Source organism: Homo sapiens, chromosome 19 (genome assembly GCF_000001405.40).
Source record: "Homo sapiens chromosome 19, GRCh38.p14 Primary Assembly".
Lineage (NCBI taxonomy): Eukaryota > Metazoa > Chordata > Mammalia > Primates > Hominidae > Homo > Homo sapiens.
The window spans coordinates 56,672,782-56,688,173 of record NC_000019.10 but is presented as its reverse complement, the minus strand read 5'-3'; the positions used below and the strand labels follow the sequence as shown (position 1 = coordinate 56,688,173).

Genomic DNA, 15,392 nt, shown 5'->3' with positions numbered 1-15,392 from the left:
TGTCTGGGTCTTGTGGGACACACACACACACACACACACACACATGCACAGGTAGTGGATGAAAGATGCCTGAGTTTTGTGGGACTCACACACACACACAGACATGTGCACATTTAGTGGATAAAAGGTGCCTTGGTCTTGTGGAACTCACACAACATGGGTTTCATAATTGCATGAATCACTGTTTCACGCACAGTCATGTGGACACAATGGCAACCTTCACAGCATCTCCCATGACCACACATCCACACACAAACACACTGTTATGGGCTCACTGCTTTCTCCTGAAAACTTATTTGGTGATTCCCTAAACTCCAGAACCTCAGGATGTGACTATCTGGGGTCAAGGCCTTTAAGAGGGGATTAAATGAGGCTTTTGGACTGGCCCTACTCCCATTTGACTGGCATCCTTATAGAGGAGGGAGTTAGACACACACAGTGACACCAGGGATGCATACAAAAAAAAAGACCTAGTGTGGACGCCAAGAGAATACGGCCGCCAAGAAGCCAAGGAGAGAGGCCTCCTGAACACAGGCTCCTTCGACACCTTGATCTTGGGCTCCAGGCTCCAGGACAGGGAGAAAATAAGCTTCTATTAGTATTAGGTTAAGCCACCCAGTCTACCCAGGCCACCCAGTCTGTGGTGTTTTGTTACAGCAGCCATAGCAAATTAATCCACAATCTTCCCACACACTCACATGAGCGCTCAAAACCCTCCTAACTGGAGCACACACTCACAGTCACAAACCCACACACAGGGGGCTTCATCCCCTCTATGATCACAGTCACACTCGGGCTGTCCTAGAGAGAGTCACACACAACGGCACATGATGTAACACAGCAGACTAAGATGCACACACAACAGCCCAGGTCAAACAGACACAGACACACAGCAAACCTGAACACACACATTCCTGTGGCTCATCCAGGCTGAGATAGAAACTTTCCGGTGAAGCGTGACTCATAATCACACATGGAGATCCGCAGTCACATCCAATCATACGTGAGAGACCACACGCCCTCAACCGCACAGAGTCAGAGAGAAACACAGACACACACACACAGAAGGACACTCCATCCAACACACTCAAGGACACACAATCACACAGACATGGGGAGACAAGCCATCACACAGTTGTACAAGACACTGTCATCTCCATATTATTTTCTGTAGGGAAAAGAAAGAGAGATCAGATTGTTACTGTGTCTATGTAGAAAAGGAAGACATAAGAAACTCCATTTTGATCTGTACCAAAAAAAATGGTTTCTACTTTGAGATGCTGTTAACCTGTAACTTTAGCCCCAACCCTGTGCTCACAGAAACATGTGCTGTATTGAATCAAGGTTTAATGGATTTAGGGCTGTACAGCATGTGCCTTGTTAACAATATGTTTGCAGGCAGTATGCTTGGTAAAAGTCATCGCCATTCTCCAGTCTCGATTAACCAGGGACACAATGCACTGCGGAAAGCCACACGGACCTCTGCCCAAGAAAGCCTGGGTATTGTCCAAGGTTTCCCCTCACTGAGATAGCCTGAGATATGGCCTCATGGGAAAGGAAAGACCTTATATCCCCCAGCGGGACACCCTTAAAGGGTCTGTGCTGAGGAGGAGGAGTGAAAGAGGGAGGCCTCTTTGCAGTTGAGATAAGAGGAAGGCTTCTGTCTCCTGCTCGTCCCTGGGAATGGAATATCTGGGTGTAAAGCCGATCATTCCCATTCGTTCTATTCTGAGATAGGAGAAAACCGCCCTGTGGCTGGAGGTGAGATATGCTGGCAGCAATACTGCTCTGTGACTCTTTGCTACACTGAGATGTTTGGGTAAAGAGAAACATAAATCTAGTCTACGTGCACATCCAGCCACGGTACCTTTCCTTGAACTTATTCATGATACAGATTCCTTTGCGCACGTTTCCCTGCTGACCTTCTCCCCACCTGTTGTCCTTCTACGCTCCCCTTGTTAAGATAGTAAAAATAATGATCAATAAATACTGAGGGAACTCAGGGGCTGGCGCCAGTGCGGGTCCTCTGTATGCTGAGCGCTGGTCCCCTGGGCCCACTGTTCTTTCTCTATACTTCGTCTCTGTGTCATTTCTTTTCTCAGTCTCTCGTCCCACCTGATGAGAAATACCCACAGGTGTGGAGGGGCTGGCCCAATTCAATTTTCTTTTTTTTTTTTTTTTCTGAGATGGAGTCTCGCTCTGTCTCCCAGGCTAGAGTGCAGCGGCATGATCTCGGCTCACTGCAACCTCTGCCTTCTGAGTTCAAGCAATTCTCCTGGCTCAGCCTCCCAAGTATCTGGGACTACAGGCTCCAGCCACGAAGCTCAGCTAATTTTTCTATTTTTAGTAGAGATGGGGTTTCGCCATGCTGGTCAGGCTGGTCTCAAACTCCTGACCTCAGGTGATCCACCCACCTCGGCCTCCCAAAGTGCTGGGATTACAGGCGTGAGCCACCACACCCGGCCTATATTATTTTCCATTTATTGTGTAATGGAAAATTGGAGGTACGCTGAGGCCAACAGATGAGGAAGTGACTGTCATTGAAATAAATTGTGTTACTCAGTTTCCAGGAGAAGAGAGCCCGTCTCAGCTCAGGCAGCCCCATGGGGAAAGCGCCAGGATCTGCCAGGAGTCAGAAGGAGGTGAGTGAAATGTGGGTGTGGACAAGACTTTGCTATAGTTTCTGTGGAAAGGAAGAAGTGAGGCAGATTTCATAGGTTAGGGCTGGTCACTTTGGATAACCTCAGTGGGATCTGGGGAAAAGGGCTGTTCTTAGTGGTGTGATACCTGGCCCTGGGGTGAGTATAGCGCCCTGTTAGAGAGTGGGTGGGATGTGGGCTCTGGATTGGTGGTTTATATATAAAAGGCATGCTCTCAAGCAAGTTATTTATCACTCGAGAAATTGGCTAAAACTGGGAGGGGCCATCCCTGCAAGGTCAAGACCATGATGTAAAAGCAATTTTTTTTTCATTGATCTTTTATGTATTTTTTTGGTCTCAATCTTATTTGTTTCTGCTCTGCGCTTTATTTACTTTCTTCTACTAATTTTTGGGTTTGGTTTGTTCTCGCTTTCCTAGATTCTTGAGGTGCATCCTTAGGTTATTGAAGTCTTTCTTTCTTTCTTTTTCTTTTTCTTTCTTTCTTTCTCTTTCTTTTTCTTTCTTCCTTCCTTGTTTGTTTTCTTTCTTTTCTTTCTTTCTCTCTTTATTTATTTCTCTTTCTTTCTCTCTTTCTTTTTTTGAGACAGGGTCTAGCTCTGTCACCCAGGCTGGAATGCAATGGCACAATCTCAGCTCACTGCAACCTCTACCTCAAAGGCTCAATCAATCCTCCCACCCTAGCCTCCCGAGTAGCTGGGGCTACAGGCTTGCACCACCACGCCTGGCTAATTTTCTGATTTTTTGTAGAGACAGGGTCTCGCTATGTTGCCCATGCTGGTCTCGAACTCCTGGTCTCAAGCAATCTACCCACCTCGGCCTCCAAAAGTGCTAGGATTACAGGCATGAGCCACTGCCCCCAATCTCTTATTTGAAATGTTTCTACTTTTTTGATGTAGGAGTTTATTGCTATATACTTGCCTCTTAGCATTTTTTTTTCCTTTTTGTGGAGAACCAGGTCTTGCCGTGTTGCCCAGGCTGGTCTTGAACTCCTGGGCTCCAGCAATCCTCCCGCTTTTGCCTCCCTACAGGATTATAGGCATGAGCCACCACACCCAGCCTTAGTACTGCTTCAGCTGCATTCTAGAGGATTTGCTATGTTGGGTTTCCAACTGAACTTAAGAAGTAACAAGGAAAACACTTACCTGCTTCAACAGTGCAAGGTGCTATTGATACAGCTTTTAGAGGCTCATCTCAAACTCTCAGAGTTCATGACCTGGTGGGGGAAACAGGTAAACAGTCAGTTATATCCCCATGAGGGATGGGGAACAAGAGAACCAGCATACCTCTTATGACAGCATTGAGGAGGAATTTGTTTTAACGATTATCGATACAGTGGTTGGGGAAAAATTCACAAAGAAGATGATTCTCGGCCAGGCAAGGTGGCTCACACCTGTAATCCCAGCACTTTGGGAGGCCGAGGCGTGTAGATCACCTGAGGTCAGGAGTTCAAGACCAGCCTGGCCAACATGGCGAAACCCCGTCTTTACTAAAAATACAAAAAAATAGCCAGGTTTGGTGGTGGGCGCCTGTAATCCCAGCTACTGGGGAAGCTGAGGCAGGAGAATTGCTTGAACTTGGGAGGCAGAGGTTGCAGTGAGCCGAGATCGAGCCACTGTACTCCAGCCTGGGCAACAAGAGCAAGACTCCATCTCAAAAAATAATAATAATAATAAATAAGAAGATGACTCTTTATCTTATTTGTCACATTATTAAAATAAAATTATATTTCATATTTATGGTAGAAATGCCCAAAAACCCCCACCTAGCTACTATTTCTTGATTCTTACAATGTCTTGGGGGGCACCAGGTCCAATCCTTCCCCACCCCCAGTGCCCATTTCTAAGTGAAGGAGGTGGGCTCAGAAGGACAGATGTCTTCCCCAGGATCACCCACATCATGAATGTTGGGGCTGGGGTTTGTGAACTCAGGAATCTACATTTGACTTTCTCATCTAAGAATGTTAAACTTATCCTATGATCCTCCTTTCCAGACACCACCACCCCCACCCCCGCCGGCCCCCCAAAAAGAATTTAAACTTATCCTATATAAAGGGAATTCTCTGGAAGGCTGGGTACAAATAGCTCAATCTACCTTTCACTGAAATTCTTCACTGGGTTAATTATGGTAGGCAGCGTGAAAAATTGATAACAGCGAGACAGATCTGGGTTACATTTCCCATGAGAATTTAGAGCCACGGAACAACTGGATAGCTTCATGGGAATTTGACACCGTGTATGAAAAGCACCGAGTATGCACATTCCTTCCACCCAGCCAGCTGATATCTAAAAACTTAACCTAAGAAAGTAATTCTTAAAGTTTTTCATCTCAGGCCAATTTTATATTTTTTAAATATATTGAGAACCCCTAAAATTTTTTCTTTGTATGATCTATATTTACATACAATTACATATTGAAGCTGAGAAAATTATACACTTAAAACTTAAAAATAATAATCTTATTATATATTAACATTTCACAATTTTTATAGGCAATTATACAGTATTTTCCAAAGAATTAGTAAGAAAATTAGCATTGTCTTACATGTTTGCAAATTTCTTTAATGTTCACCTTACTACAAGACAGCTAGGTTCTCCAATCTGCCACTTAATTCAAACATTTGCAGTATTACATCATGCAGGTAAATTGAAAAGTCGGTAGGCAAGTAAATTCTTAATTTTCTTAGGAAAATGCTGGGAATTATGGACCCCCAAAAAGGTCTTGATTCCCTCAGGAGTCCTTAAACTACATTTTGGGAACTACTGGCCTAAAAATATGCAAACAGTAGACATGAAAAAATCAGTGGAGACCGTCTCCACTGAGGATGGGTTTGGGAATATACAACTGAGGGTTTGGGTTTTTTTGTTTGTTGTGTTTTGTTTTTTTGAGACGGCGTCTCGCTCTGTCGCCAGGCTGGAGTGCAGTGGCGCGATCTCAGCTCACTGCAACCTCAGCCTGCCGGGTTCAAGCGATTCTCCTGCCTCAGCCTCCTGAGTAGCTGGGACTACGAGTGCCCGCCACCACACCCAGCTAATTTTTGTATTTTTAGTAGAGACGGGGTTTCACCATATTGGCCAAGCTGGTCTCAAACTCCTGACCTTGTGATCCGCCCACCTCGGCCTCCCAAAGTGCTGGGACTACAGGCGTGAGCCACTGCACCCGGCCTTTTTTGCAAATTTCTTTAATGTTCGCCTTAGTACAAGACAGCTAGATTCTCAAATCTGCCACTTAAACATTTGCAGTATTACATCATGCAGATAAATTGAAAAGTCGGTAGGCAAGTAAATTCTTAATTTTCTTAGGAAAATGTTGGGAATTATGGACCCCCAGAAAGGGTCTTGATTCCCCCAGGAGTCCTTAAACTACATTTTGGGACCTACTGGCCTAAAACTATGCAAACGGTAGACATGAAAAAATCAGTGGAGACCGTCTCAATATACAACTGAGGGTTATTAATTAAAGAAATTAATTAATTTCTAATTTCTACATCTACATTACTTTCCTGAGTCTCTGCAGCTACATTTGGCTGAGGCAGAATAGCCCCTCTGCCACTGCCTGTTCTCACCAGAGTCCCCTGTGGGGCGTCTCCGCGTTGCTAGGCGACCAGGGGAGCTCTTCCGTTCTCTCCCCCTCCAATGAACACCTCCTGCTTTTCTGCCTCTCTATCCCCACAGCTGCAACTGTCAGCCCAGGTACCCTGATTCTTTCAATTTTAGGGACGCGTAGCAGTATTAGACATCTGACACACATGAACCTCCACCTCCAGGGTTCCACAGTTTCAGCCTAAGATCTCTCTACACTTCCTTTGATAACATCATGCTTTGTGATGCTGGGTTGGCAGTGTTTGCTGTGAATCAAACCCACGAAAATCAACAAGGATGAGGAAGTGCGGGTGGCATAGTCCAGTCTGATGCCAATGTTTGAGAAGGTATAGAATGCCCAGCAGGCACACACATTCTATTATTATTATTATTTATTTATTTATTTATTTATTTATTTATTTTGAGACAGAGTCTCGCTCTGTCCTCCAGGCTGGAAGTACAGTGGCACGATCTCGGCTCACTGCAAGCTCAACCTCCCGGGTTACACCATTCTCCTGCCTCAGCCTCCCAAGTAGCTGGGACTACAGGCGCCTGCCACCACGCCTGGCTAATTTTTTTTTCTTTGTTTTGTATTTTTAGTAGAGACGGGGTTTCACCGTACTAGCCAGGATGGTCTCGATCTCCTGACCTCATGATATGCCCGCCTGGGCCTCCCAAAGTGCTGGGATTACAGACATGAGCCACCGTGTCCAGCCACACATTCTATTATTAAGCAATTACGACTGAAAAAATTTAAAAGATCATCATCTTTGCAATAAGAAACCACCTCACTTTCATTAACATGGCTACTATCCATAAAACACAATGTAAGAAATATTGGCAGGATTTGGAGAAATTGGAACCCTTCTGCACTGCTGATGGGAATGTGGTATGATGCAGTCATTCTGGAAAATGGTCTGAAGGTTTCCAAAAAAAATTAAAAATAAAATTGTCATGTGATCCAGCAATTCTAATTCTAGATAAAGACCTTAAAAATGGAAAGCAGTGGGCTGGGTGCGGTGGTGCACGCCTGTAATCCCAACACTTTGGGAGGCCAAGGCGGGCAGATCACGAGGTCAGGAGATCGAGACCATCCTGACTAACACGGTGAAACCCCGTCTCTACTAAAAATACAAAGACAAAATTAGCCGGGCATGGTGGTGGGCGCCTGTAGTCCCAGCTACTTGGGAGGCTGAGGCAGGAGAATGGCGTGAACCCGGGAGGTGGAGGTTGCAGTGAGCCGAGATCGCGCCACTGCACTCCAGCCTGGGCGACAGAGCGAGACTCCGTCTCAAAAAAAAATGAATAAATAACAAAATAACATGTATCATGGTTTACATTTGGCCTACTTTCTTCTTTCTTTTTTTTTTTTTTTTTGGTAAAGTAGGACTTGGTGATCTTTCCTAATTGTACTTAGAACCAATATTTATCTCATCAGTCTTCCTCAGTCATTTCTTTCTACATACCCCTTCCTGCCCACTCCCCACAACACTCCTGCTAACGGTGAGTTTTATGGGCCAACCTGGTTGGGGTCCAGTGCCTGGTAATCCAATCACATGCTAATCCAGGCATGGCTGTGAAGGTTATTTTGTAGATGTGGTTATCATCTACAACCAGTTTTTTTTAAGAAAAGGTTGCCCTCGGTAATGTAAGTGGACTTCATCCAATCAGTTGAAGGCCTTCTGAGTAAAACTCAGGGTTTCCCAGAGAAGAGGAAATCCTGCCTCAAGATTTCAGCATCAATGTCTGCTTGAGTTTCCCACCTGCTGGCTGGCCCTACAAACCAACTCCCACAACTGTGTGAGACAATTCCTTAAAATAAATCTCAACCTCTGCATACATTAGATGATAGACAGACAGACAGACAGACAGGCAGGCAGGCAGGCAGGCAGGCAGATAGATAGACAGATGGATAGATAGATAGATAGATAGATAGATAGATAGATAGATAGATAGATAGATAGATAGATAGATAGATAGGGACAGGTATATATACACACATATATCTGAATTTCCTGGGTCTGCAGAGCTGAGGACCCCAATCTGTCTTGGAGTGACTTTTTCATGGCCTGCCTCCCTTCCCCCTTGATCTCAGAGCCTTCCACCAGAATCTCTATTATATATGTATACATATAGACAACACAGAGAGAGATAAGAGAAAGATTTTAAGGAATTGGCTCACGTGATCAATTTGTGTCTATTAATATATACATCTATAATATATATGTGGATAGGTACATAGTATCTCCTATTGATTCTGTTTCTGAACCCTGACTGATACAGCTTCACATTCTATTTATTATATCACCCATTTTTAAAAACTGGTAAAAACCATGTTCACAGAAACATCATTTATCACAGCAAGAATCTGAAAATCACATACATGTTCTTCAATTGAGTATCAGCTATATAAATGTATGGTGCAAGTTTTGCACATGCCACCTCTGAATTTTTCCTTTTTTTTCTTTTCTTTTCCTTTCTTTTTTTTTTTTTTTTTTGAGACGGAGTCTTGCTCTGTCACCCAGGCTGGAGTGCAGTGGCGCAATCTCGGCTCACTGCAAGCTCCGCCTCCCAGGTTCACGCCATTCTCCTGCCTCAGCCTCCCCAGCAGCTGGGACTACAGGCGGCTGCCACCACGCCCAGCTAATTTTTTGTATTTTTAGTAGAGACAGGGTTTCACCACGTTAGCCAGGATGGTCTCGATCTCCTGACCTCATGATCCTCTCGCCTCGACCTCCCAGGGTGCTGGGATTACAGGTGTGAGCCACCGCGCTTGGCCGAATTTTTCTTTTACCAATAAATAGAGAAATTCAAGTCATAGTTGGGAATACATTTTAGCATGAGGATAATTTTTGTTGTTGTTTTGAGACGGAGTTTCGCTCTTGTTGCCCAGGCTGGAGCGCAGTGGCACCATCTTGGCTCACTGCAACCTCCGCCTCCCGGGTTCAAGCAATTCTCCTGCCTCAGCCTCCTGAGTAGCTGGGATTACAGGCATGAGCCACCATGCCCAGCTAATTTTGTATTTTTAGTAGAGACAGGGTTTCTCCATGTTGATCAGGCTGGTCTCAAACTCCTGACCTCAGGCGATCTGCCCACCTCAGCCTCCCAAAGTGCTGGGATTACACGTGTGAGCCACCACGCCCAGCCAGCATGAGAATAATCGTATCTAAAGGGGGTTGAGTCTGATAGGAAAGGTTTGGAAATAACATCACTTGAGTAATTGAAAGATCTTTGCACATTTTTATTAGAGGGGTGTTTGTAATTACACACACCAGGCTGTATCCAACTCACCACATGTGTGTATGTGCACATGACAGATTGCAAAACTCATCCTAGTATTCCACCCCTCCTTGAACCCATGCCGTTTGTCCTGTGGCCATTTTCCCATCCCTCAAATCTGGGCTGCACCTGTGGTTTGCTTTGGCCAGTAGCTTGCAGTGGAAGTGCAAAGCTGTCAGTACAGAGCCTTGTGCTCAACGGGCTTGACGGTTCCTACTAACTCTCTCGGAACCCTGCCAGGCTGCCATGGAAATGACCCTAGGCTGTCCTGGCAGAGGATGAGAGGCTACAGATGGGCCAGCCGCCGCTCAACCCAGCTCAGCACAGATGAACGAGTGGGCCCAGCCAAGACAGAAGAACTAGTTGACTAAACCCAACCCACAGTGCCGACCCACAGCTGATTAAGTAAATGAAGCATGGCAGTTGCTTAGCCTCTATATCAGAGAGCTTGGGCTGCCATAACAAAGTGCCACAGACTCGGTCACCTAAACAACAGAAACTTATTCTCTCCCAGTTCTGGAGGCTGAAATCCTAGATCAAGGGACCAGGGCCGGACGCAGTGGCTCAGGCCTGTAATCCCAGCACTTTGGGAGGCTGAGCAGGGTGGATCACCTGAGGTCAAGAGTTTGAGACCAGCCTGGCCAACAGGGCGAAACCCTGTCTCTACTAAAAATACAAAAATTAGCCGGGCGCGGTAGCACACACCTGTAGTCCCAGCTACGCAGGAGGCTGAGGCAGGAGAACTGCTTGAGGTGGAGGTTGCAGTGAGCTGAGATCGTGCCACTGTACTCCAGACAGCGAGAATCTGTCTCAAAAAAAAAAAAAAAAAAAAAGAGTCTCCAGTGTTGGAGCGGTGACGCCTGAATCAACAGTCATCTGCAGATCACTCCACCTCTGTAGGCCTGAATGTGTGTGTCACCCCCCAAAAACTTTTATGTTGAAAGTTAATCACCAAGGTGATGGTGTTGGGAGGTGAGGTTTTGAGGAGGTGATTTGGTTACGAAGGCTGAGCCCTCATGAATGGGATTAGCATAATTCTAAGAGGCCCAAGAAAGCTCTTTTCTCCCTTCCACCCTGTGAGGACACAGCCAGCAAGAAGGTGCCATCTACGAACAAGGAATTGGGTCCTCACCAGACACCGAATCTCCTGGCACTTTCATCTTAGGCTTTCTAGCCTTCAGAATGATTCTTTTCAAGGCCAGGCACAGTGGCTCATGCCTGTAATCCCAGCGCTTTGGGATGCCGAGGAAAGAGGACCACTTGAGCCCAGGAGTTTGCGACCAGAATGGGCAACACAGGGAGACCTCATCTCTGTTTAAATAAATAAATACATCACCTGTTCTGCTCGTTATAAGCTGCCCTGTTTATGCTGTCTTGTGATAGCAGCTGGAATGGACTGGCAACCCCCCTGAGGTCAAAATCCCAGCCATTTCCTAGTACACGGTAAAGGGGGGAGTCTGGAAGCTTAAGGAAACGTGAATGTAGACATCGGTCTATGCAGGCAAACTGCCCAGGTACCCTTAAACATACTCCCAGAGGACCCATGGGAGACTTGCCTCACCAACACTGTAAGGTGAAGAGGCTTCTGGATCGGTGAAGAGCCCTGTGGCTGCTGTCCATTGTAGGATGGAGAAAATGCCACGAGGAAATTGGATTCCATGAGCTTGGTGGGAATAATAGGATCTTTTGGTGGTAGAGGCCAGGTGGGCACTAAACATTTAGAAGCCAGGAGGTCACAAACGTGATGCTAAGCCAGAGATCACCCAGTTATAATGATAATGCAGCATAAAATTCAGAATATTTCAACCCACAGGGAATCTGGAATAATTGCTCATTGGTCATGAGATCTCTAGAAATGAACTACTTTGACAAGTTGCTAAGGTGTTTCTCCACAGAGGACTTCAGCATCTGTCCAACAAAGTCCAGCAGAAGTTGATGTAACAAGATTTGTGGACTTTCACTCAGCTCTTATTTAAGCCGGTGTTTAGAGCCTGAGCCCTTGACTTGGGAGGATATCATAAATCTTCCTCTAAGCCAATTTCAAGGTGACCACACTCCAGTTAGCACGGTGATCATGAACCAGGGAAAGCAAAGTACTCCAGCCTCTTGTGGGTTTTAGATTCAGGATGTGAGCTTAATGCCCCATTTTACCCATTGTGATGAGCCAAATTGTGCCCCACCACCAAATTTTATGTTGACGTCCTAACCCCCCATTCCTTGGAATGTGACTGTACTTGGAGATGGAGAAAGGGAATTAAGATAAAATGAGGTCATTAGCATGGGTCCCAAGTCCAATATGACTGACATTGTTTTTTGTTTTGTTTGTTTGTTTGTTTTTTGTTTGAGATGGAGTCTCAGTCTCTCGCCCAGGCTGGAGTGCAGTGGCGTGATCTCCACTCACTGCAACCTCCACCTCCCGGGTTCAAGCTATTCTGCTGCCTCAGCCTCCTGAGTAGCTGGAACTACAGGCATTTGCCACCACGCCTGGCTAATTTTTCTATTTTTTTTAGTAGAGATGGTGTTTCGCCATGTTGACCAGGCTGGTCTGGAACTCCTGACCTCAGGTGATCCACCCGCCTCAGCCTCCTAAGATGCTGGGATTACAAGTGTGGGCCACCACACCCGGCCCATGGCTGACATTCTTAAAAAAAAAAAAAAAAAAAAAAAAAAGAGTGTGGGAGAGATTAGGACACAGACACACACAGAGGGAAGACCATATGAAGACATGGGGAAGATGGTCGTCTGCCAGCCAAGGAGAGAGGCATCAGGGGAAACCAACCTTGGCCATAACTTGATCGTGAACTTCCATTCTTGAGAACTGTGAAGAAATAAGTTTCCATTGTTTAAGACCCTGGTCTGTGATGCTTTGTTATGGTGGCTCTAGAAAACTACTCCACCATCTGATCTCACGTTCCTCAACGTCACACTTTCATTTTCTTCCAGGGGGTGTTTAAGACTTAATGGAAGTGACCAAAGAAAACCACAGAAACCGGTTCCTGGAAGGAGCTGCCTGCCCTGGTTGCCAGAGCCTATAGCTGGGTCTAGAATCTTCCACCCCTGGGTAGAGGCTGCCTACTGGTGTGTGACAAACATAGCTGGGACATGGAGTCCCTGCCTCAGGGTCTCTGAAACGTTGTGTGGCCTGATTTGATTGTGCATTTCCTCAGCAGCCCAAGCCAGCATTTTCTGGGGACATTTTTGCCTGATTGTGAAGGTGTTTTCTTAGTGACCACAGAAGTACATTTTCTCCAGGCTAGGAAATGAAAGAGGCAAAGTGCTTTAAAGAGGCAAAGTGCTTTAAAGTGTAGGCCTGGCACAGTGGCTTATGCTTGTAATCCCAAGACCAGGAGGCCAAGGCAGGAGGATCGTTTGGGCCCAGGAGTTCAAGACCAGCCTGGGCAATATAGTGAGACCCTCATCTCTACAAAAACTAAAAAATAAAAATAAGTAAAAATAAATGTTAACACAGAGGAGGCATAGGCATCACACAGAGAGGGGTTCGAATCCCAGTTCCTCCACTTGCAACCTTCAAAATCACAGACAAAACACTTATCCTCCAGGAGCTTCCATCTCCCTGTGTGTCAAATGTGCGCTGCAATGTGCTTGACATGTAAAGAGACCATCTATCAGGTGCTAAGGCTACTGCAGCAAAGCACCGCCAACCTGTGGCTGCAGCAACAGACATTTATCGCCTCACGCTTCTGGAGGCTGGAAATCTGAAATCAGGGTGTAGGCAGGGATGGTTCCTTCTAAGAGCCATGAAGAAGAATTTGCTCCAGGCCTCTCTCCCTGGTTTGCAGATGGCGGCCTTCTCCCTGTGCCTCTACATATCATGTTCTCTCTATGCGTGTCTCTGCGTGCAAATGCACCCTTTTTATAAGGACAGCTGTCATTTTGGGTTATGGCCCACCCTATTTACTCATTTTAACTTTATTACCTCTGTAAAGAACCTGTCTCCAAATAAAGTCACATTCTGAGGAATAGGGGGTTAGCATTCCAACATATATTTGGGAGGGGGGTGAGCATAAATCAACCCCCAACAGGTAAATGTGGCTTTCTAAAGAAAATTGTCTTAAAAACCATATTTAAAGGAAATGAATATTTGAGTTGTTTCTGTTGTCCATCCTTTGAGGAAAATGTCCCTTCTCATGAAGCTTCCAGAAGGAAGAGGGAAGCACAGAATGCCTCTTGAGGTCTACGAATAAGTAAAATATGAACTGTAAATAAAGCATGTGTCATGGTTTAAGGGCAGCCGTGGGGCTACATAAAGTAATGTGGAATCTCACAATCAATGGCATGTTGGTTTAGTGAAATGCATTTTTTTTCCCATTCTATCTTCACAGATTTCTCTGCTTTTCCAATTATCTAAAAATGATCTCATGCCTATGTTTCCAATGGCCAAGGGAATAATTTAGGAAGGCTAACAGAATTCCTTCAGAGCAGGCACCTTAAAATAATGCCGGCCAATAGTAAATGCCATGTGCATGTCAACTATTAAAATTATTTAAGGCCGAGGTGGAAGGATTGGAGTTCAAGACTAGCCAGGGCAACATAGCGACACCTCATCTCTACAAAAAATAAAAGTTAAAAAAAAGTTAGCCAGTGTGGTGGCACATGCCTGCAATCTCAGCTACTCAGGAGGCTAAGATGGGAGGATCACTAGAGTTGGGGAGGTCGAGGATGCAGTGAGCCGTGATTGTACCACTGCACTCCAGCCTGTGCAACAAAGCGAAACTGTTTCTAAAAAATAAAACTCTCTCCTGCCTCTGCCAGGAGAGAGCTTGTTCCTCCAACCCCAGGAGGCCAGGCAAGCATGGACAGGAGCCAAGGGAGCAGGGTCATGAACTTTTTCATCTTTGCAAAGTGGGCACTTGGCATCAGGGTCCCATCACCAGAAAGCACCAAAGCCCCTGGCACCCCACCCACTCCATCCTACCCAGGGACCCCAAGTAGGCAACTGCTATGGCAGTGGGTCCAGCCCAGGCCGGCACTGCCAGCCTCCTCTCCCTGCAGTAGGCACCAGCTCTACCTCCCCCGGCAGGCAATGTCCTGGCTTCTCAGCCCAGCACCATCTGTTCCCCTAGACTTCTCAGGGGCCAGCCCAGTCTGGGCCACCCTTTCCCTCATCCTCGGCTCCCACACAGGTGACAGGCCCAGCAGATAGCTTCTCTCTGGGAAAGGTTGGATGCTGCCTTACATCCCCTTCTATCCCTCCTCCCATCCACACACACAGGCACCCACCCACACCAGGTCTGCTTGTTTCTCACATGTAGGGAGAGGGGGGGAGACCAACCCCTTTGTGTCTTTTGAAATACGAAGAAAAATGTGTGTTCAGGAGCATGACTCCAGTGCTGGGCTCTTGGGCCCAGTTCAGTCTGTCTTGTCTCAAATCTAGGCACTTTTGCTTCAATTTTATTTTTTTTAAGAAAACAAAAACAGAAATCTGCACTAATTTACCTGGTTCTTAGGAAAACTTTTTTTTATTTTTTACATTTTTTGGTGTCCGTTTGTATTGAATAATTTGCTACATTTGTAAAATGTAAGAGGTATATATAATATATGTATATTTCTAACGTAAAAACAATTTTTTTCTTTTCAAGATTTTTTCTTAAAAAGATGAGAGAAACATATTTTTTCAGGAAAAACAAACTTTAAAAAAAAAAGAGGAGAAATAAAACCTTTTCTCCCCTTTCCCCATCCTCTATCTATCCCTGTTTCCCAGGAACAAATCAAAAGGTGGATTATCTTCTGAAGAATGGAAACTGTTAGTCCAGAATGATGTCTTTTTCTCAATGCAGTGAGTTATAGATTCTCTAGTTTTCTCCCTAGGGATGGGAAGGGGGCATTGACGCAAGCCTGGAGAGGAGCCCGGGGA

General features: G+C 45.6%; 1 long non-coding RNA gene across 2 annotated transcripts in view; it reads right to left on the bottom strand.

Moving 5' to 3' along the window:
• LOC105372473 (uncharacterized) overlaps window positions 1-15,392 on the bottom strand; it is a 38,797-nt gene that overhangs the window by 22,602 nt on the left and 803 nt on the right. For both annotated transcript variants that reach the window (XR_001754023.3, XR_936110.4), the window contains exon 2: window positions 3,803-3,873. This is a non-coding gene — a long non-coding RNA (uncharacterized LOC105372473). The remainder of the gene's footprint in view (window positions 1-3,802; window positions 3,874-15,392) is intronic.